The sequence below is a fragment of the Homo sapiens genome, chromosome 11, assembly GCF_000001405.40.
Source record: "Homo sapiens chromosome 11, GRCh38.p14 Primary Assembly".
Taxonomy (NCBI): Eukaryota; Metazoa; Chordata; class Mammalia; order Primates; family Hominidae; genus Homo; species Homo sapiens.
The window spans coordinates 8,856,919-8,880,187 of record NC_000011.10 but is presented as its reverse complement, the minus strand read 5'-3'; the positions used below and the strand labels follow the sequence as shown (position 1 = coordinate 8,880,187).

Genomic DNA, 23,269 nt, shown 5'->3' with positions numbered 1-23,269 from the left:
GAAAAAGGAAGCAAAGAAGGAAAGGAGATGTAAGAGTTTGACCTTCTAGGAGACTGAAGATGGCTCTGTCCTTTGTCTGTGGTATGTCAACCATGTTCCCCAGCATAATGGAAATGTTGGGGTAGGCTGCTGCTTAGTTAGCAATAGAGTAGATGCATGAAAACTACCACCACCATTCTATTGGTACCTAAATGTTCAAAGTAATAACTCTGACTGTACAAATGTTAATGTGACTAACCTTTTCATAACTTACTATTTCAATCGAAACTCCCTAAGCATTTATCGTTCCATTATTTTATTAGAATGCTTATTTGAATTCACTAAGCATGTGAATTTGGTCATCTCTGACTGAAGTTGGTATCTCCTCCTTGCCTCTAACCTCTAGTCTAGAATTTCCCATAATTTTTTTTTCAATCATATGTACCTAGCATAGAGACTCTGATTCAGGATATCTGGAGATGTCTTGGACCAGAGCATTGCATTTTGAAAAGCTTCTCGGGTGATTTTTTTTTCTCCAGAGGACAAATATTTTATTCTTTAAAGAATTTATAAAGGAATTGGAAGATGACTACAGTTCTCTTTGGGTGATTTTTGACATGCACCAAAGGTTAAGAGCTACTTTTGTTTCTAGAGTTATTTTCCTCAAATGCACATCATGTCACTCTTCTCAAAAATATTGTCTCTCCACATCCTTCAGAATCAAATTCAAATTCCTTCATATTGCCTTCATATCCTTCCTAGATCTGATCCTGTATCAGTCAGGAGGAGCTAAGCTTATGCTGCAATAACAGCTTCTCACATTTCAGTGGCTTAAGACAATGAGGATATTTCATACATATCCAGCATGGCCAGCATGGATCAGTAGGGAGGTATTGGTTTATTCAGGGATCCGGTCCGCTACAGTCTCACATGGCTTTGGGTTTATGTGGCAGAGAAGAGAGGCATGGACATCTCTTACCCCTTCTTCAATGCTTTGGCCTGGAAGTGACATGTGTCACTTCTGCTCACAGCCTGTTGGCTAGACAAGGGTTGGACAGTCACATGGCCCTGCCTAACTGCACAGTGACTGGAACGGTAGACTTCTGTGGACTGGGAAGTATAACAGTGAGCATTAGTGAGTCTACCTTTTTAAAAAATGTTTGAGGTGAAATTTACACAACATAAAAACCATTTTAAAGTGTATAATTCAGTGACATTAATTATAGTCACAATATTGTGCAATCATCACTTCTAGTTCCAAAACATTTTCACCACTCTCAAGGAGCTCCCATACCCACTAAGCAGTTACCTCCCATTTCTTTCTCCCCCGGAGCCCTGGCAACCATTTATCTTCTGTCTCTGTGGATTGATGGAATCATACAATATGTGACTTTCTGGGTCTGGCTTCTTTCACTTAGCATAATGTTTTCAAGTCTCACTCACATTGCATGTATCAGAATGTTATTCCTTTTTATGGTCAAATAATATTCCACTGTATAGATACACCACATTTAAAAAATCCATTCATGGCTGGGCACGGTGGCTCACACCTGTAATCCCAGCACTTTGGGAGGCTGAGGCCACCTGAGGTCAGGATTTCAAGACCAGCTTGGCCAACATGGTGAAACCCCATCTCTACAAAAATACAAAAATTAGTTGGTCATGATGGCAGGTGCCTATAATCCCAGCTATTTGGGAGGCTGAGACAGGAGAACTGCTTGAACCCAGGAGGTGGAGGTTGCAGTGAGCTGAGATCGCGCCATTGCACTCCAGCCTGGACGACTGAGCGAGACTCTGTCTCCAAAAAAAAAAAAAAAATTCATTCAATTGTTGATGGACATGATTATTTCTACCTTTTGGTCCTGTATATAGTGCTGCTATGAACTTTTGTGTACAAGTAGTTGAACAATTGTTTTCAGTTCTTTTGGGTATATACCCAGGAGTGGAATTGCTGGTCACATGGTAATTCTATGTTTAACTTTTTGAGGAACCACCAAACTGATTCCCACTTAATTTACCTTTTTAACTTCCTACTTCAGTCAAATGAGGACCAGTCACTGTTCTTACAGCTGGTTTCTCATTTTCATGGCTTAGGCAATTCCTTTGGCTTAAAATTTTCTCCCCTTCTTTTCTAATGACTGAAATAGAAATTCTGACAATCATTGAAGGTTCAGTTCCAACCCTCTTTCTCTAAATTCTAGTAAGAATCTCTACTAGTTCTGCAAATTCCCATATTTCCTCCTCTTTATCTCTTGTATGCTATTATTTTTGAGTAGTTGTTTATTAATGCCTTTATCACTAGATTTTAAATTTGCTTACACAACTTATTACTTTTATTCCCCCCAGTGTCAAAAATAGTTTTGTGATGTTTAATAAATGCTTATTGAATGAATAAACAAATGAATAAGGAGCTACAGATACAATCGTGATTTTTTTGGGGGGGAACTATGGATTTCTGTTTTGCCAGTAAGATGGAGAATGACAAAATGATATTAAATTTCACAAGTCTGGTTTCAGGGATGCATGTTGGGTAAAATTCAGTGAATTCAGTGACAAATATAGATCATTATTTTATCTGGAGATAATTCATTAAATCTAAGACTGATACCATTAGAACAAAGATTGGTAACTAGTGTTTCAAATGAGTAAATTTTTAGACTTTAATTTCTTCCAATAAAAAATTATCTTCAGGCTGGTTCAAGTGCAGTGATGTTTACAACTAATTGATGACAACCAGTTACAGATTTCTTTGTTCCTTCTCTGCTCCCACTGCTTCATTTGACTAGTGTTTAAAAAAAAAAAAAGGCCGGGCACGATGGCTCACGCCTGTAATCCCAGCACTTTGGGAGGCCAAGGCGGGTGGATCACAAGGTCAGGAGATTGAGACCATCCTGGCTAACATGGTGAAACCCTGTTTCTACTAAAAATACAAAAAAAATTAGCTGGGCATGGTGGTGGGCACCTGTAGTCCCAGCTACTCGGGAGGCTAAGGCAGGAGAATGGCATGAACCCGGGAGGTGGAGCTTGCAGTGAGCCGAGATCGCACCACTGCACTCCAGCCTGGGCAACAGAGTGAGAGTCCGTCTCAAAAAAAAAAAAAAAAAAAAAGTATCTTCAAGCCCATGAGAGAAGGAAGAAGGATGACTTAGCAAGACAGAGGAGTGAGGGGACCATCCAGGTTGGATGAGCCTTTCTGAGCTTGTCTCCTGTCCGTCTAAAGGCCACCTGACATCTCCTCTCATTTACTCTCAGATCCAGCCTGCCCAGCATCAGCAGTCAAGCTGCCTTATTACTTTCTTTTCTTTTCTTTCTTTCTTTTTTTTTTTTTTTGAGACGGAATCTTGCTCTGTCGCCCAGGCTGATGTGCAGTGGCACAATCTTGGCTCACTGCAACCTCTGCCTCCGGAGTTCAAGCAATTCTCCCTGTCTTAGCTTCCCAAGTAGCTGGGATTACAGGTGCTCGCTACCATGCTTGGCTAATTTTTGTATTTTTTAGAAGAGACGGGGTTTCACCATGTTGGCCAGGCTGGTCTTGAACTCCTGACCTCAGGTGATAGGCCCACCTTGGCCTCCCAAAGTGCTGGGATTACAGGCATGAGCCCCTGTACTTTATCTAAATGAGTATTAGACAGCTTGCTATCTGGAACAAAACCCCAAACAACATAGCAGGATAAAATCAAATAAATGGATTGGAGTGAACCTTTTTGTGAGCTGATATAGAAAGAGAACTTTGATTGGATGTATCCTGTCTTCTGTACACTTAGTAGGGAGGGAACAAAAGGCACTGCATGGTATCCAAGGCAGGAAATATAATCTACTATAAAAAAGACATAAGTAACACAATTCAGTTTACTTATTCCTTATATATTTTAAGAAAATGAATAATTTATTTTTAATTTTATATTAAAACCTCAGTAATACTTGAAATCCAAATGAGATTTACCAGCTTGACAAGATTAAAGTATATATATGTACTTTAGTATAATATAGAGATGGGGTCTTGCTATGTTGCCCAGGCTGGTCTTGAACTCTTGGGCTCAAACGATCCTCCTGTCTCAGCCTATCAAAGTGCTAGGATTACAGGTATGAGCCACCATGCCCGGCCTATAGTATATCTTAATTCTTCTCTTAAGATCTTGATTAATAACCCTGTAACTTATGTTAATGATATTAACCAGGAGTACTACATTTATTTTTCTCCTTTAATTCTGTGTAGATCTAAATAAAATAATAAAGTGTTGAATATCTCATGTAATTTATTGAATACTGTACCGAAACTGAAAAACAGAATGCTGTATGGGGACTCAACGTATGCTTTCTACTGAAGGAATATTGGTTTTGCACCATGGTAAAGTCAAAAGATTGTAAGTTGAACCACCATATATTGGGGATCATTTATATATTTTTAAACTGTTTCTGAAGTTTTTACCTGGTGTATATCTTACCTACATATAAAAAATTTTTTTTAGGTCAAAATGTCAGCTAGGTGTGGTGGCTTATGTCTATAATCCCAGCACTTTGGGAGGCTGAAGTGGGAGGATCACTTGAAGCCAGGAGTTTGAGACCAGCCTGGGCAACACAGTGAGACTCCTATCTCTATAGAATAGAGATTTTTAAAAATCTCTATTTTAAAAGATTAGCCATGTGTTGTGGTATGTGCTTGTAGTCCCAGCCACTGGGGAGGCTAAGGTGGGAGGCTGCAGTGAGCTCTGATTGTGCCACTGCACTCCAGCCTGGGCAACAGAGACTCTTTCTCAAAAAAAATAAGAATAGTAAAATTAAAAAAAAAAATCACAGTGTCAAAAATTTTTGCATGCAAATTTTGGTTTCTGGGCTTCCTACTCAGTGCAATTTAGAAAATTTAGTAGTTTTTTTTTTTTTTCTTTGAGACTGAGTCTCACTCTGTAGCCCAGGCTGGAGTGCAGTGGCGCGATCTGGGCTCACTGCAAGCTCTGCCTCCTGGATTCACGCCATTCTCCTGCCTCAGCCTCCCAAGTAGCTGGGACTACAGGTGCCCACCACCACGCCCGGCTAATTTTTTGTATCTTTAGTAGAGACGAGGTTTCACCGTCTTAGCCAGGATGGTCTCCATCTCCTGACCTTGTGATCTGCCCTCCTCGGCCTCCCAAAGTGCTGGGATTACTGGCATGAGCCACGGCGCCCGGCCTAGAACACTTAAAGTCATCTAGGCTAACCACCTTTCCCAGTTGTCTGCTTTAGAGAAAACTGGTTGTTTGGATCATGAAGCATAAATAAGGCCCCACAGCCCCAATACCTTTTCTTTGAGACAGGGTCTCACTTTGCCGCCCAGGCTGAAGTGCAGTGGTGCAATCATAATTCACTGGAGCCAGGACCTCCTGGGCTCAAGCAATCCTCCCACCTCAATGTCTTGAGTAGCTGGGACTAGAGGTGTACATAAACCACCATGCTCAGCTAATTTTTTTTTTTTTTTAAAGACTGGGGTCTCACTATGTTGCTCAGGCTGGTCTCAAACTCGTGAGCTCAAGAGGTCCTCCTGCCTTGACTTCCCAAAATAATGGCATTATAGGAATGAGCCACTGAACCCAACCCTCACTGCCCCTTTAATGAATACATATAATATTACAGGCAGAGTACCTAGGAAGAAATCATTGTTTCGTGAGTGCTAGACCTGCAAACCTGAAAATCTTCCTAGAAAATCTTAACCCTTCTGTCCTTCAAAGGAAAAAACAAAACATGCCAAAGCAAAATCCATGAACCAGAAAACCCAGACAACTCACCATGCTTAAGTGCAGGATTTAAAATAGCAAAAGGAAGTAAAGCTCATCTTTGTGATGTCAAGTTCTATTTTGGTATATAACAAAGTAGTTGAATTATAAGGCTCTCAAGGTTAAAATATTAAACAGACCCTTAGCTACAAGATGTGTTGCCAGGCATCTGTATGGAATATAACCATGTAATCAGGGCATATTGTACTTCTCTGCACAAAGAGAACCAAAGCTACTGCTTCTAAAGATTAGGAAACTTTCATTAGACTGACAGAAGACCGTACAGAGGAAATGGCTTGCGGGTGGAGGAGACGTATGAGAGAGGATGAAAGGAACAGTATTCATAACTATCCAAATTAGAGCCAGGATGTTTATGCTCAAATCTTGTCTTGGCTCTGTGTTGATGGGACTGAATAATGGAACATGGGAAAGTATATCTCAGACCCCTAAATTAGGCAGTAAATTTACCAAATTCCTCCTACAAGCGCTTCCTATTTTCAGCAGTCTCTGCACATTTCTCAATATATGCTGTGATTAAAGTCCAAAGCTGGCTAATGCTAATGATCCCTTCCTCTTTTTTGTTGCTAGTATCCTTCCATGGCGATTTCATTCTGTTGTTTATAAGTCACATGTCTCTACAACAGGATTGTAACCTTATGAGGAGTGTTTTTATTTATCTTTCATTTATTCAGACAGCATATATTTACTGTGCGCTTATTTCATGCTGGGCACTGTGCTAGGCAGATAGGATGTAATTATTAGCAAGACAGGCTAGGTTGCTGTCCTCAAAGAGCTTGCCATCTCTTATACATAGTCGACCTTGTTTGTCAAGTGATGTGAACATTACGTTAACGCAAATTACTAAATTACTACTATTTAAAATATAGCATTAACACCATTTCTGATGTCAGTGTCTCTAATAAATATTTGGCCAGTATTAAGATGAACTAATAGTCACATATATGAAGTTTAGACTCAAGGCTATATTTAGACTATATTTAGACAATTTAAGGGATGTTAACTTTTCTTTCTGAGAGAGCAGATCTAATGAAGTTTTTTTCCTAAGAATTAAAACAGTTCCATGCATAACTTACAATGGAATTGGCCAACAAAAAGAACAAGTATTTATATCTAATTATTGCCCTCTTACATTGCTTCAGCACATATAAGAGGCAGCAGCAGCAGCTGCCAATGATGAAAATAATTATTGTCCTGGGTCTGATTAGAGAAAATCTTGATGCTGTCTGTTGAGTTGTCTTTCCTTAGAGATGTTACAAGAAAAACGGGACTTTAGTAGTAGAGGTTCTAATAGTTTTGAAAGTGGGAGACTTAAGAACCTCCTTACAGAGCTCAGAGAGCTGCAGGTAGAATTTACCTGGAGGCTGGCTAAATTCTGTGGCTTGCCTTTACATTCATGAGTTCTCTTGTTCCACGTTTGGGGCAGAACCATCCTAATTTGAGATTGGAGAGATTGGAAAAGACTGGAGAGGGCTAAGTTCATCCAAATATGGCCCAGGTCTCCTGAGGTGTTCAAGCACTTCAGTGAACTAGAGTAGAAACTCACTTAGATTGTGAGTTTGGAGAAAAACTTGTTCTGATTAAAGTAAAACTGTTCTGATTTTTGGAGTAAAACCTGTGCTGATTTTTGGCCTTTGTGTTTTCAATGTGCCTCAACAACAGCTGAAATCTTGGGCTTTCCTAATGTAGAAGCAACTCAACGAGGAATTGATTTATTTTTCATGCGCAGACTGCATCACACCGCATATAAGGCCTTCTGCTAGAAAGGCCAAACTGTCCTTTGGCCTCAGTATTTTGGAGACAAAGAGTTAATACTAGTAATTCCTGTGTAATATCCTTTTTTGGCAAAGGAACAGTAGACTTTATCAGTTTGGTTCTTGCCATTACTTGTGTTCGATCTTGACCAAGTTAAATTATTTCCAGGATGTATCTTTTTTTTTCTTTTTTTTTTTTTTTTTAGACGGAGTCTCACTCTGTTGCCCAGGCTGGAATGCAGTGGTGCGATCTTGGCTTACTGCAATCTCTGCCTCCTGGGTTCAAGGGATTCTCCTGCCTCAAGGCTCCCTAGTAGCTGAGATTACAGGCGCCTGCCACCACTCCTGCTAACTTTCGTATTTTTAGTAGAGATGGGGTTTCACCATGTTGGCCAGGCTGGTCTTGAACTCTTGACCTGAAGTGATCCGCCCACCTTGGCCTCCAAAGTGCTGGGATTACAGGCCTGAGCCACCGCGCCCGGCCTCAGGATGTATCTTAAACTCATTATTTTTGATGCTTGCCCTGCAGCTGAGTAAATACCTCTTTAGGATATGTGACAATTGAACTGGCTTGGATTTTGGAACATGTCCTGGCCTTGGAGCCTGCTTATGTTCATACACACTGGTTCCTTAGAAATGTAAATTTGTAAAGTCAATGTAAAACTGAAACTTCAAAAGTCAATTTTCATTGCTGCTGTTGTGCATTTCTATTATCAAATTTTATTTACAGTGATTTACGTGAGTAAAAAATGGATTACACGATTTCCTAACATCTCACTAAGTATGGGTTTGGATCTTAAGTAATTTACATTTTTCTTTTCCAAGTTGATTGTTATACTGGGCTAATGATTTCCTTCAAATTCCACTAATAAATCACAGATTCTCAGTGCTGTTATTCCATTGCTTTATTATTAAATGGCACCCTTTTCTAGTTTTTGTTTTTGCAAACCAGTGGAGTATTTAAAGTAAAATTTCAGAATCCCTTTTGGAGCTTTCGGTTGAGACCAGGCTCCTTGGAACCCTAGTGCTTTGGGAGTTCTGCTGCTGCTGCAGTACCAAAAGTAGCTTCTTTGAATTTCATTTGGGTTTTGTAGGGCTCCCCCGAGGCCCGAGAACTGGGAGAAGGGAAAGAGCTCATCGGTTTGTTTGAAGGCCGGCGGGCGGTGCAGGCAGCTTTTCCCAGACTCTCCCAGCTCCGGCTTTTCACGCATACCAGAAGAGCCGCTTTTTTCCTCCAGTGATTGAAACCATCTGGACTCCAGGGGGGTCACGTGTGTATGAGAAAATGACATAAAGTTTCAGACCCCGTTGTGCTTTGCTCCAGACCCAGACAACTCTTGGTCGGATGGTGAGGAGGTGAGGGCCGTCCAGTTTGGGGGCCAACTTCTCCTCCCTGCTGCCCCCGGCCCCCGCCTCCCTCACCCCTGTCCCCCACCCTCCCTCGCACACTCTCGGCGCGGCTTTCTCGCTGCCTCCGGCGCCTCCGAGCGCTCCCCTCCGCCGGGCTCCAGCAGCCCACCCTCTCTGTCTTGGGTGGAGGCGCACATCCTCCACGCCCCCTCCACTCAAATCTGCGCTCCCTCCCCTCTCTCTCCCTGCAGCCCGGCCGCAGCCCGGGGCGCGGATGCCTGCCCGCCGCCCGCCCTCTCTGCAGGAGCGGCTCCTCCTCCGGGCCGCGCGGCTCCCGGCGAGACCCCATCCAGGCGCCGCGCCCGGCCCGGCTGGGGAACGCAGAGGTAAGCGCCTCCGGGCCGGGTGGCCCCGGTTCCCGCGTGCGCGCCCGGTCCCGCCCCTGCCCTCCCAGCCCTTTTCCCTCTGCTCCCGACTCCCGGCCCCGGCAGCGGTGTCCAGCTCCGTGAGTACGCGCGTGGGGGCCGCCGCAGGCGCAGAGGAGCGGGGCTGGTGGGGTCCGCCCTCCCGGGCGGTCAGTAGCCGCCGGCTCTGCTTTCCGGCCCGGCGGGGGCCGCGCGGTTGGGGGTGGGGAACCTCGCGGCCAGAGTCCGGCGGTGAAGAGCTGCCTGGTGCCGAGCGGAGACCCGATCTCGGGACGTCCTGGGAGCTGGCTCTGCGCACCGCCTTGCCTCTCGGTGGCGGCATTCGAGCTCCTACCTGGAGCTGTTGCAGCTTGTATGCAGGCTCCTTGAAGAACGCGCGCGCGCGCGCGCACACACACACACACATACACACGCACAACACACACAGACACACGGAACTCAAACAAAGGAAAATTAACTTTGCATGCTATTACTGCAACAAGTTAAACTATGTTTATTTGTGGATGGTTCACTTTTTGCCCTTGTGCAGACACGCACTAAGTATTAAAGGGTCCACACTCTAGTCAACGTTTATGGCACGTTATCCAATAATTTAGTAACTGAGTAGAGTTCAAGAGACAATGTTTTCAAGTGTTTCTAAAGAGGGCTTATTGCATTTTCCTGGGATCTTTATATGAAAGTAGTTGATGATTAATATGAATAAAATAACTTCTTCATTAAGTGAGAAAATTTGCCTTAGTACAGCCTTAGTCCAGCTCTTGCTTTTATTACCAACCAGGTGTTTCTGCTGTTTGGATAGCAGGGTCTTGGGAATGGCAAAGAGGTCATTATCCCATCTGCAAGACTGTTTTCAGCTACCTCTTAGCTGCACACACTGCAACTGGCCATTTTGGGATGGGGCCACAGGGTTAAAACCCAAAGGGCTGCATTGTTTTGTTTTAATATTTTTCAGAAGGTGAATCCCTTAATTGATTTTTTTTTGCCAGAATTAGGGGTTTCTAAAAGGTTAGACGTAATCTGGGGTCCAGAAAGCTAATCCAAGATAGAGACTGAATTGTTCACAGCCTATCTCCCTTGCTGAATTAAGGACCGCACAAGGCCAGAACTCAAGAAGAGCCTGTTGAATGCATGAAGTGAAGGCTTCTTAAATTCTGCTGGTCTGGCAGAGAGTTCCTAGGTGACTAACATAGATGTAACCCTCCTTTTTATTTATCTGGCATATATTTTTTATTTAAAAAATTTTTTTCTTTTTTTTTTTCGAGACGGAGTCTCTCTCTGTCCCTGGAGTGCAGTGGCGCAATCTCGGCTCACTGCAACCCCCGCCTCCTGGGTTCAAGCAATTCTCCTGCCTCAGCCTCCCGAGTAGCTGGGATTATAGGCGCCTGCCACTACGTCTGGCTAATTTTTGTATTTTTAGTAGAGATGGGGTTCCCCATGTTGGCCAGGCTGGTCTCAAAGTCCTGATTTGAGGTGATCCACCCGCCTGGGCCTCCCAAAGTGCTGGAATTACAGGCGTGAGCCACTGGGCCCAGGCTATCTGGCAAATATTACCTTTGGAAAAACTCCCCAAGATAGGGGGAAGAAAAATTGTTCAAGTGTATGTATGGGAAATGTTATCCCCTAATTGGGCCAGAAGGGCACCCATTTTGGTAGACAACTCCAAGGCAACTCTTACCTTAAAAGTATTTTTTTACTGAACGCTTAGATTGGATTGGCTTGGTAATTAGGGAAATCCTTGGTCTTGAGTTTGTGGACTCCTTGGGGAAAGAGAAGTGACATTTGAGTGAAGGATAATTTCAGATCAATTGGCTTAGAACAGGAATGTCCAATCTTTTGGCTTCCCGGGGTCACACTGGAAGAAGAATCGCCTGGGGCCGCATGTAAAATACACTGACTCTAAGGATAGCTGATGAGCTTAAAATAAATCGCATAAAAAATCATAATATTTTTAAAAGTTTACGAATTTGTGTTGGGCCACACTCAGAGCCGTCCTGGGCGGCCCATGGGCCGCAGGTTGGACAAACTTGGCTTAGAATCTAAGAATTATAAAGCTCAAGGAGAAAATGATTCTGAGGCAGGGCGGTTTCATAGAAGAGGGGAGAGCCTTGAAGCAAAGTATGCTTCTGAAACTGGTGGAGAGTTGCTGGGGAAAGCTTTCAAGAGAATGGAGAGCAGACCATTTGGACTGGACCTAGAGAGAAAAGTAATAGCATCTGCTCTATGCCACCTGCCAGCTCTCTCTTTCATCCTTCAGTGTTGTGACATAGGTATTGTTGCTCTTGTTTTAAAGATGAGGGAATTCTTGTTTTTAAAAAGACAAGATCAAAAAGATACGTAACTGGCTTGGGATGACACAAGTGGTAAAGTGGCAGAGCTGGAATTCCAATGCCTGGCTCTCAGACTAACATGGGTGCTTTCACAGCTGCCTTCTCCAAAGAGCAGTGGGAGGTCCAGTGGAAGCCGAACTGTGGTCAGGTTGAATTCTGGCTCAAGGGCTGGAACTTTATCCTGTAGACATTGTTTAGGTTTTAAAGATTTTTGAGAAAAGGAGCTATGGGTAAAGCAGTGATTTTAGAAGATTAAGGTGACATCTATGTACAGGAATGTGACATGCTCATCACAAGTCATGTGCAAGTCATAATTCCTAATGAGGAGGTTCAAAAAGGAAATGTAGCCAGGATATCTGGGTGTTTCAATTCCTGTCTCACTTACTGTACCCTGCAGCGAGTAGCTTGGTTCACTGGGTAAAGAGCTAGTTGGAGTGACCACGGGGCTGCTCTGGATCAGAAAAGAGCTGAATCTTACCAGGCATACGCTGAAATGGAATGTGTATGTGGATCAATGCCACTGCTGGTTTGTCCTTTATGTTCCCCCATGTTTCGCAATGCTTTGGTTTTTTCTTTCATGACTACCCTGAGAGGTAGATCAATGTTGTAATTTGTTTAAAAGCTTTTCCTCGCCCTAAACATCTTAGGTAAGTTGATGTGCCTTTTCCTCTCATATTCTCTTATTTCTTAAAAATGCTGAATTTTGGCCAGGTGCTGTGGCTCACACCTGTAATCCCAGCATTTTGGGAGGCAGAGGCAGGCAGATTGCTTGAGCTCAGGAGTTGGAGACCAGCCTGGGCAACATGGTGAAACCCTGTCTCTACAAAAAATACAAAAATTAATCATGCATGTTGGCATGTGCCTGTGGTCCCAACTATTCAGGAGGCTAAGGTGGGAGGATCGATCACTTGAGCCCAGGAGGTTGAGGCTGCAGTAAGCCATGATCATGCCACTGCACTGCAGCCTGAGTGACAGAGTGAGACCCTGTCTCAAAAAAAAAAAAAAAAAAAAAAAGCTGAATTTTAAAACTTGGTACTAGTAAGGTAAAAGTGAATTTAGATTACCTTTCTTAATTATGAGAAAGATTAACATAAAATATACATTTATTTCACTTTGTGTTATGGAGGAAAAACAGGAGGCCTTTGTAGAGTTCCTGCGTGGGGATTTAGAAGGGATAGGAAAGCCAGGATTTAGAGATGTGCAAAGGTCTTCCTACCCCTCCACATTTCTTACCAGTTAATCGTATTGTTCATGTATACAGCTTATGGAGCTTATAAGGACATTGGACACCCACATTTATAGCCAGGCCCTTTGATTCTCGGCAGATAATGGGCTCAGGAAGGGCAGCAGTGGGTGGAGACATTTTACTAGAATTAGTCTGCCGCTTTGAATACAATCTGGATTTCTTGCTATTTCTTGTGCAACCTGTACGCCGTTTCCTCTGAACTTGCTAGTGCTCTGGAGACTTGGTTGTTTGGCCAAGGAATATCCCCTAGCAGGAGGGCTCACTAAGGAGGGGCAGCTTGACAGGCAGAAAAGTGATGTTTGTCAACTAAAGAAGTTTTCTTTTAATTAATGTTAGAGTCACCCATGGTTTTTTGTCAAATAAAAAATGCGAAATCAAAATATGATCTCGGTTCTCCACACCCATTTTTACCTTTAAGAGCCTCTCACACCTTGGAGAGCTTGCCTTACTGAATGGGGTTTTGATAGGTGAAATTATCACCAGGACCTCTACATGGGTCAGGATATGACTCAGTTTGGGTTTTGGACCTCTGAGGAATGTGACCCCTCTTAGTGTAGGGGATTTGGAGTACAAAAACCTGGGTTAAAGTTCCAGCTTTGCCATTTATTCAGAAGTTCCTGGAATTTGATGTTTGAGAGATCTCTGAGCTCAGTTTTCCTAGTTCTTCTAGATCAGGGTAATCCCTTAGGGCCAGATAGAGGTGGTCACACCCTGATTAGCACCTTGGTTCCTTCTCCCAGTTTGTATTTTGTGTCACCTGAAAGTCATTTTATTTTCTCTGTAGCCTCTGGTTATAGGTTATGTGGTCATTCCTCCAGAGAATGGCAAAGCTCATTGTTGGTTGGGGATCATTTGGTATGTCTTCCCGGGAGAATGCTCTTGAACCTAGTTTTGAGAGTTGGGGCCTCAAGAAGAGACTTTGGCAATGCCCTTATTTAAATGTTAGAAATGTTTGGTTGCATTTTTGATGCATTGCTTACATAGTTAATGTTTTTGTATTTGGTACTTGTCATTTTAATAATTTATTAAACAGGTGATTTAGGTTTTCTAAGATAGCTAAGAGCTTAGAAAAATAGGACTGCAGGTCGGGTGCGGTGGCTCACGCCTGTAATCCCAGCACTTTGGGAGGCCGAGGCAGGCGGATCACAAGGTCAGGAGGTCGAGACCATCCTGGCTAACACGGTGAAACCCCGTCTCTACTAAAAATACAAAAAATTAGCTGGGCGTGGTGGCGGGCACCTGTAGTCCCAGCTGCTGGGGAGGCTGAGGCAGGAGAATGGCGTGAACCCGGGAGGCGGAGGTTGCAGTGAGCCGAGATCGCGCCACTGCACTCCAGCCTGGGCGACAGAGCGAGACTCCGTCTCAAAATAAAAGAAAAAAAAAGAAAAAGAAAAATAGGGCTGCAATATCCTCTTTAAAAATAGTCTAAATTATTTTTTAGTGGGGATGGCATTTGGACAATTCCCCAGGACTGGAATATCCCTTTGATACTCAGATGTAATCTCCTAGTATGGTAGAACTTTGACTATTTTGACCTCCTCCACCTCCAAATATCCTTAAATCTTTCTGAAGAGATTTAATCTCTCTTAAAGAGATCTCACAATTTCCCTGGGAAACACTTTCTAAGGAAGGTTTCCAGATTGATGATCACAGATTATCTCCTTGTAGTTAGCTTTTCTTTTAATGTTTCCTACTTTTACTGTTTTCCTGTCCCTCTTCAATGCACACATGTTCACAGAGTGAACAAATTGTCTTTCCTGGACTCCAAAGGCAGCTACCAAATGTACAGACTGTCCCATCTGTACCCATCCTTTCCTTCCCTTCCTCTGGCTAAACAAGCTGAGCTTTCTCTGTTTTCCTTAACAAGTCTCTCTTTTTAGACCTATGATTATACTTGTTGCTTTGTGTTTTGTTTTATGCAGGAAGTTCATATCAGATATGTTGGCAATTAGAGCTTTCAAACTGGAAGGAGCCTTTTGGAGTAAAATATATATATTTTTTTCTATCAGCATAAGTAATTGTGGAATATATGTAAACTCTGGAGATGATCTTTTAAAAAAATTACCATCAAAAGAATTTTACTCAAGTCCTTTAAGGGCTTAAGAAGAATCCAGCCTTTGCGAGATTGCACTAAAAGTAACAGATTAGCCCAATTAAGGCCTATCTAGAAGTCTGGGAATCATTTGTTTAAACTGGAATTTAGGATCTCCATGCAAATATGATAGAAATAATCTGCTTAACCCTTTGTTAGTAGCATTAGAAATAAGCCCCTTTTTATGGGACTCTTAATGATAAAAGGTCATAGTAATTAGAATATGCTGGGAATTTGTCCCTGTTTGTTAATGTTTTGGAAACTCCTTTGAGTAGGCAGGGGTCACTTTGGGTGGCTTTTTTCTTTCTTTGATGTGAAGTTGGGATCTTGGATGTAAATTTAGCCAAGGACAAGTTTGAATTTAGATTTTTTAAATTTTTTCCGTCTTGTTCCATTCTTCCTTTTGGAGGCGGCTAACTAGAGTGGGGTAAAAAGTGCCTTTAATCAGAGTCAGTGTCCTGAGACTGTCAGACACTGGTCTCTGGGAAGTGCTCTGTATCACTATCATTTATATACTTTTCCTTTCTTGTGTCCTATAGTTTTTGAATATCTCCTGCGGAAAAAGCACTGGGGTGTGTACGGGCATCTGTTTATTCTCTTATTACCTTTCTTCAGTGAATATGCTTAATGTTAGGGGTTTGATGAATCAATGAGTGGATGAAGTTAAGAAATTAGATGGAGGCCAGGCCTGGTGGCTAACACCTGTAATCCCAGCACTTTGGGAGGCCAAATTGGGAGGATTGCTTGAAGCCAGGAGTTTGAGACCTGCCTGGGCAACACAGTGAGACTCTGTCCTTATGAAAAAAATACAAAAATTAGCCGAGCGTGGCGGTGCGTGTCTGTGGTCCCAGCTAAACGGTGGGCTGAGATGGGAGGATTGCTTGATCCTGGGAGGTCAAGGCTGTAGGGAGCCGAGATTGTGTCACTACACTCCAGCCTGAGCAACAGAGTGAGCCCCTGAGTGAAAATAACAACAACAACAAAAGAAATTGGATGGGAAATTAGTTTTGGATATGAGTGTTGGGTACCTCCTGATCCAAATATTGCTGTTGGGAAGCAACTGTTTTTACAACACTCTGGTCTCTGGAAGCTGAGATGACCTCTGTTAAGGCTCATCATGTGGGGATATATTTTCTAGTGAGTAAACAGGGCCTAGTCAGTTATTTTTTCTATTAGTCATGTTGGATTACATTTACTGTTGCCGGGAACTCTAGTTAGCATAATATCCCCTTGAATTAGGAAGTGCCACTCAATAGCTGTCTTTCTCCAGGACTGCCTGGAGAAGCTTTTCTTGAAAGTCTGGTCTTGCCTCTTGAGCCAGGGATGAGTGCATTCTAAGTACTTAGACCCAAAAGGCTTCTTCTACTGGGTCCAAGTCCCAGGGGAATGGAAATTCTCTTGAAAATAGTATAATTGTATGGGAGGGGAATCAAAGCTTTGTACTTTTCAGTAGTCACTCGAATCTGTACATAGATACCTGGAGATAAAGAAAACCCAACTTGCAAATGAGTATTTGGTGCTGTGGGTTAACATGGAAAAATGGCACTTAAGGTCAAAGTATATTAATTGAATCCTTCTTGTCCAGTTAATCAGCAATATCAGTTGTGAGGATTCCGTTTTGCTATTTTTCCCCCATTTGTACATTGACAGGTCACTCTTTTGAATTAGAATAGCACTCAGGACCACAGTGTTTGCATAGGAAGTGGCGTAAGAGGCAGGCCGGGCGCAGTGGCTGACGCCTGTAATCCCAGCACTTTAGGAGGCCGAGGCGAGCGGATCTCAAGGTCAGGAGATAGAGACCATCCTGGCTAATATGGTGAAACCCCTTCTCTACTAAAAATACAAAAAAATTAGCCAGGCGTGGCAGCGTGTGCCTGTAGTCCCAGCTGCTGGGGAGGCTGAGAGGTGGAGCTTGCAGTGAGCCGAGATCGTGCCACTGCACTCCAGCCTGGGTGACAGAGCAAGACTCGGTCTCAAAAAAAAAAAAAAAAAGAAAGTGGCGTTAAGAGTCATGGGGCGTGGGTAGAGGCCACTTTATATCTTGTTTCAGAGGGCCATTTAAAATTTTTTTTAATTAATTAATTTACTTACTTATTTTTAGAGACGGGGTCCCCCTATGTTGCCCAGACAGGTCTCGAACTCCCAGGCTCAAGCAATCCTCCCACTTTTGCCTCCCAAAATGGTAGGTTTAAAGATGGACCATTTTTAAAACCTCCATGAGTAGCTCAGTGATCAGAATTAGCTAGAAATAGCTCTGCCAAAAGGTATTGGCAAAATAACATCTAGCAGCCTTTGTCTATTTCAGGTTAGGTTTGTTCAAGAAAACCAATTTGGGAGCAGTATGATGTGCCCAGCTCTGTCTACATTTGAGTCGCCTACATAGTTCCCATGTATTTGTCACTATTTCTGGTCCCTGGAGGGCTGGGGTAGATCTCAGGATATGAGGCTCAGACTTGGTTGAAGCCACATCAAGAGCTGTGGTCCTGGTGGGTCAGCGTTATTTTCTGCGGCTTATCACCCAGGCTAGGCGTGTGGGAGCATGGGTGGGTAGGACAGGGAAGAAAAACAGAAGACCAGATAGTTCTGTGGAAACTGAATAAATAAGTGAAAAAGTTGGCCAGGCACTGTGGCACTCACCTGTAATCCCAGCACTCTGGGAGCCCATGGCAGGTGGATCTCTTGAGCTCAGGAGTTTGAGACCAGCCTGGGCAACATGGTAAACCCCTATCTCTACAAAAATTAGAAAAATTAGCCAGGCACAGTGGCACACACCTGTGGTCCTAGCTACTCAGGAGGCTGAGATGGGAGGATCACCTGAGGTGATCACCCGAGGTTGAGATTGCAGTGAGTCGAGACTGTGGCACTGACCTCCAGCCTGGATGACAGAGTGAGACCCTGTCTCAAAAAAAAAAAAAAAAAAAAAAAAAGAGTGAAAAAGTTAATCTTTTTCCCCTCACTGACTTGGACCTTTGTTCTGTTGGAAACCCTTATCACTTGAGGTCATTTTATTTATGTATTTATTTTTAAATGTTTCATTATTATTATATTTTAAAAATATGTATTTTTTATTTCAATAGCTTTTGTGGTACAAGTGGTTTTTGATTATATGGATGAATTGTGTCTGAAATTTTAGTGTGCCAGTCACCTGAGTAGTGTACATGGTACCCAATATGTAGTCTTTGTAACCCTTCATCTCCCCTCCCTCCCTCCCTTCCTCCCCCTTCTGTGTCTCCATAATCCATTATACCACTCGATATGCCTTTGCATACCCATAGCTTAGCTCCCACCTATAAGTGAGAACATACAGTATTTGGTTTTGCATTCCTGTGTTACTTCACTTAGAATAATGGCCTCCAGCTCCATCCAAGTTGCTGCAAAAGACATTATTTCATTCTTTTTTTATGGCTGAGTAGTATTCCATGGTGTATACATACCACATTTTTTAATCACTCATTGGTTGATGGGCACTTAGGTTGGTTCCGTATCTTTACTGTTGTGAATTGTGCTGCGATAAACATATTTGTGCAAGTATCTTTTTGATATAATGACTCATCCTTTGAGTAGATACCCAGTAGTGCAATTGCTGGATTGAATGGTAGATCTATTTTTAGTTATTTGAGAAATCTCCATACTGTTTTCCATAGAGGTTGTACTAATTTATATTCCCACCAGCAGTGTATAAGCATTTGCTTTTCACCACATCCATGTCAAGATCTATTGTTTTTTGACTTTTTAGTAATGGCTAGTCTGGCTGGAGTAAGGTAGAGTATTTCATTGTGGTTTTAATTTGCATCTCCCTGATGATTTGTTATGTTGAGCATTTTTTTCATATATTTCGTGGCTATTTGTATATCTTCTTTTCAGAAATGTTTATTCATATCATTTGCTCGGTTTTTGATGGGAGTGTTTTTTTCTTGCTGAATTATTTGAGTTCCTTGCAGATTCTAGGTATTTGTTGTTTGTCAGATGCATAATTTGCAAATATTTTCTCCCATTCTGCGGGTTGTCTGTTTAATGGTTATTTCTTTTGCTGTGCAGAAGCCTTTTAGTTTAATTAGTTCCCATTTATTTATTTATTTTTGTTGTTACATTCGCTTTTGGGGTCTTAGTCATAAATTCTTTGTCTCACCCAATGTCCAGAAGAGTTTTTCCTAAGTTTTCTTTTAGAATTTTTATGGTTTCATGTCTTAGATCTAAATCTTTGATCCATCTCGAGTTAATTTTTGTATATGGTGAGTGATAGGGATCCAGTTTCATTCTTCTGCGTGTGGCTAGCCAGTTTTCCCAGCACCATTTATTGAATAGGGTATCTTTTCCCAGTTTATGTTTTTGTTTGCTTTGTTGAAGGTTAGTTGGTTGTAAGTATTTGGCTTATTTCTGGGTTCTCTATTCTGTTTCACTGGTCTGTGTATCTACATTTATACCAGTACCATTGCTGTTTTGTTACTATAGCCTTGCAGTATAAGTCAGGTAACGTGATGTCTACAGATTTCTTCTTTTTGCTCAGGATTGCTTTGGCTATTTGGGCTCCTTTTTGGTTCCATATGAATTTTAGAATTGTTTTTTCTAATATTTTCGAAAATGATGTTAGTATTTGGATAGGAATTGCATTGAATCTGTAGATTGCTTTGGGTAGTATGCTCATTTTCATGATATTGATTCTTTGATTTCATGAGCATGGGGTGTATTTCTATTTGTTTGTGTCACCTGTGGTTTCTTTCAGCAGCGTTTTGTAGTTCTCCTTGTAGTGCTCTTTCACCTTCTTAGTTAAGTATATTACTAGGTATTTTATTTGTTTTTGAAGGTATTAAAAAGGATTGAGTTATTGATTTGATTCTCATCTTGGTGGTTGTTGGTATATAGCAGTGCTACTGATTTGTGTACGTTGATTTTGTAACCTGAGACTTTACTGAATTTATCAAATCTAGGAGTCTTTTGGAGGATCTAGGCATCTTTTAGGGTTTTCTAAGTGTACAATCATATCATTAGCAAACAGAGATAGTTTGACTTCCTGTTTTCCAATTTGGATGCCCTTTATTTCTTTCTCTTGCTTGATTGTTCTGGCTAGGACTTCCTAAGGTCATTTTATAAATATTCATAGTAACTAGTTGAAGGCACTGAGATTCCTGTACCTTGGCGGGAAGAACCCTGCTGGATGATTCTCTAGGTGTTTATTTGGGTTATGCCCATTTTCTTTCCCTCTTTTCTTCCTAAGTTTTGATGCTCCTGTTTTTCTGGGAATATTTTGGCTTCATTGTTTAGGCTTTTTTAAGGGCCATGGGGAATTCTGGGGACAGGGGCAGGTGTGACATGTTGCTAGGTATGGGAGGTTTTTACAGCTTGAGAAATTTCCAGGAAAGAAGAGACAGAAAACTTTGTTCACAAAGCATGTGGACAGGAAGTCAGGTGGGAAAATGGCATGGCAGATGGTGTAACTTCTTTGGTCAGCATGCCTGTCTCTGCCAAGATGGGACTGATAGGGTAGTGGGGGTAGTGGGGCAGTGCTGAGGATATAACTTATAATTCACATTATTCCTTGAAGAGAAGATGGTTCTTTGTTTTAAAAGGAAGTATAGTGCCTTACATTGATTTCTTTGAAATATACATGATATAATCCATGAATGAGTATTTGCAAAACACGTGGCCGGGCGCGGTGGCTCACGCCTGTAATCCCAGCACTTTGGGAGGCCGAGGCGGGTGGATCACGAGGTCAGGAGATTGAGACCATCCTGGCTAACATGGTGAAACCCCGTCTCTACTAAAAAATACAAAAAATTAGCCGGGCGCGATGGCGGGCGCCTGTAGTCCCAGCTACTCGGGAGGCTGAGGCAGGAGAATGGCGTGAACCCGGGAGGCGGAGCTTGCAGTGAGCCGAGATCGCGCCACTGCACTCCAGCCTGGGCGAGAGAGGGAGACTCTGTCTCAAAAAAACAAACAAACAAACAAACAAACAAAAAAACACGTTAGTGTTTATCTAACCCTATGCCAAGCCTGGTAGTAGATATACAATACAACTGAGGGAAAGTGATAACCTGAACTTAGAACATATAATTGTTACCTAAAGAATGATATAAAGCAGTACATCATCAAGCTCTAAATTTTGAGTTATTGATACATACAGGGGGTTTGGAGCCCCAGACAAGGTTTAGGACGTGCAGGCTTATGGCAAATCTTGGGCCAAATGGAGGCCTTTGGAGCTTTTGGAGCGCCCAAGGGCTCAGTCTTCAGCCTGTTTCTTGTCTCTGTCTTCACTTTTCTTAGGTGATTCCCTGGCTTTGAAGTACTAGCATTTATGGAATGTTTACTGGCTGCCAGAGGCTGTTGTAAGGGTTTTATGTGCACTAATCTAGCCTTCCAGACAACCTTATAATATAGGTATTTTTATTATCCTTGCTTAAAGGTGTAGAAACTGAGACAAGAGATGGACTTTCTTGAGCTCACACAGCTTATAAGCTGGAGAGCCAGGAAATGACCTAGTTTGGGTGACCAGCCAAGCCCTCGACTGGTTCAGAATAGCCATCCTCAGCTGGTCCTGGCTCCTCTGCTCCTGTCTTTGCAGTCTCTTCTCCACATAGCAATGAGAATATATATATTTTTTACCCTCATATGGAATGCTATCACACTTAGAAGTACAATGCACATTTACTACCAAGTTCTTGTGTGGTCTAAGCCCCAGCTCTCCCATCTGCTCCTGCCTTCCTCCCATCTCTTCTGTCTCATGGCCTTTGCCTGCTCCTAGGATGCTCTTCTCCTTGAATATTGCTGGTTTGTCACCCAGTTCATTTGAGTGTGGGCTCGAGTGTGCCACCTCAGGGAGGCCTTCTCTGCCCATCCTATGTAAAACTGCTCCGAGTCACTCTTTAATCCCCTCCTTTCTTTTTCTTCCTAAAATTATATTACATATTTCTGTGTTTTTCCTGTCTGCTTTCCCAAATAAATAAACTCCATGAAGTTAGGGACTTGATCCATTTGTTTACTGATATCTTTACTTTTTAGAATAGGACATGGAAGGTTTTCTTTAAATATTTGTTAAATAAATGACTAAATGGTATCTTTTGCATTCATTTGCTGTTCATGACTTCACTTGGGTAAAAATAGTGGAGAGGAAAGGGAGGTACAGGTGATAACTACAGCCTGGGTCCTAACTGGTTTTATGTTTATTACCAAGGCTTTGCTATCATAACATGGCCAAGAAAATGCTCAGAAATCTTGGTTGAATGAATGCACTGTGTAATTTGTTCTGGATTCCACACAGAGGGGACAGAATAGTGTGGGCTGAAGTGCTCAGAGAAATTTCTTGGAGGACCTGCAGACTTTGAAGGAGAGATTGGATTTGGTCGAGCATATAGGAATCGAAGAATACTTTTTTTTAAAGGTGGAAGGGCTATAGGGTGAACTAGTCCAATCTTTCTGTTTATAGACAGGAAACTGAGCCCAGAGAGGTGTAGGACCTGCCCAAAGGCACACAACCAGTTGATGTCAGAACCACGTCTGGCATCCAGGTGTTTTGACTCCTAATTTAGTTCCCTTTCTTCTACACAGTGCTGCCTTCAGAATCCAGGAGGACTCTGGGGGTTGGGGAGTAACCAGGGGCAGCATGAGCAAAGGCCCAGAGGCAGAAAAGATGTTGGCTTGTATGGGCTGGAAATAGGTGGTCTATTGGAATCAGCAGGTTTATAAAGGAGCCCATCGGAGACAGACCAGGCTGAATCAGATCCTCTGGGATCTTGAATGTCATCTTGAAGACTTTGAGTTTGGAATGAGTGGGAGGCATGTGAAAATGCTTTGACTATTGTTCTGTCTTTCTCTACAGGGATGGTGACAGAATGGATAGTATAGAAAATGGATTGGAATTGAGGAGGAAACTAGAAGCTAAGAGGAGTTAGGAGGCCCTTGTAACAATCCAGGTATTATTGCTAAGGGCCTAGTATCATTTTAGTTATTTCTGTTTCTGTTTTTAGAGATTTGTGGTGGTTTTTGGAGAAGATGACATGAAATTATCAGGCAATATGTGTATACTCAGCTTTCTAATAGAGTTTGGGGATAAGAAGGAGGAGACCTGGTATTTTGCCTTAATTCTGTATGCGGCTATAAATGACATTTTAGTATCCAGATGATAATTCTTCTAAGAAACCTGGGCCAGGTTAGGACAGGAGGGATACAAGATAACATTATACTGATGTGAAAATAGTGATGGGGCTAAGTGCAGTGGCTCATACCTGTAATCCCAGTGCTTTGGCAGACTGAGGCAGGAGAATTGCTTGAGCCCAGGAGTTCTAGACCAGCCTGGGTGACATGGTGAGACCCTGTCTCTGCAAAAAGTAAAAAATT

The 23,269-nt window shown here is 42.4% G+C and overlaps 1 protein-coding gene across 6 annotated transcripts in view, besides 2 other annotated features; it reads left to right on the top strand.

The window, feature by feature from the left end:
- Positions 1 to 23,269, top strand: part of DENND2B (DENN domain containing 2B) — a 217,600-nt gene that overhangs the window by 30,764 nt on the left and 163,567 nt on the right. For 4 of the 6 annotated variants that reach the window (NR_164822.1, NM_001376496.1, NM_139157.3 and 1 more), the window contains exons 1-2: positions 8,819 to 8,854; positions 9,100 to 9,234. The exons of 1 other annotated variant lie outside the window; for it this stretch is intronic. The gene's annotated coding sequence lies outside the window, so the exon portion shown is untranslated. Of the gene's footprint in view, positions 1 to 8,818; positions 8,855 to 9,099; positions 9,235 to 9,285; positions 9,354 to 23,269 lie in introns of those variants that run through there. One more of the 6 variants, NM_001376497.1, reaches the window with a different exon arrangement.
- Positions 16,254 to 16,754: an enhancer, noted in NCBI's record as "H3K4me1 hESC enhancer chr11:8884981-8885481 (GRCh37/hg19 assembly coordinates)". NCBI's record gives its function as "activates a minimal SCP1, AML or CMV promoter by ChIP-STARR-seq in naive H9 embryonic stem cells {active_cell/tissue: H9 hESC(naive)}" and the evidence as "EXISTENCE:reporter gene assay evidence [ECO:0000049][PMID:30033119]".
- Positions 16,755 to 17,255: an enhancer, noted in NCBI's record as "H3K4me1 hESC enhancer chr11:8884480-8884980 (GRCh37/hg19 assembly coordinates)". NCBI's record gives its function as "activates a minimal SCP1, AML or CMV promoter by ChIP-STARR-seq in naive H9 embryonic stem cells {active_cell/tissue: H9 hESC(naive)}" and the evidence as "EXISTENCE:reporter gene assay evidence [ECO:0000049][PMID:30033119]".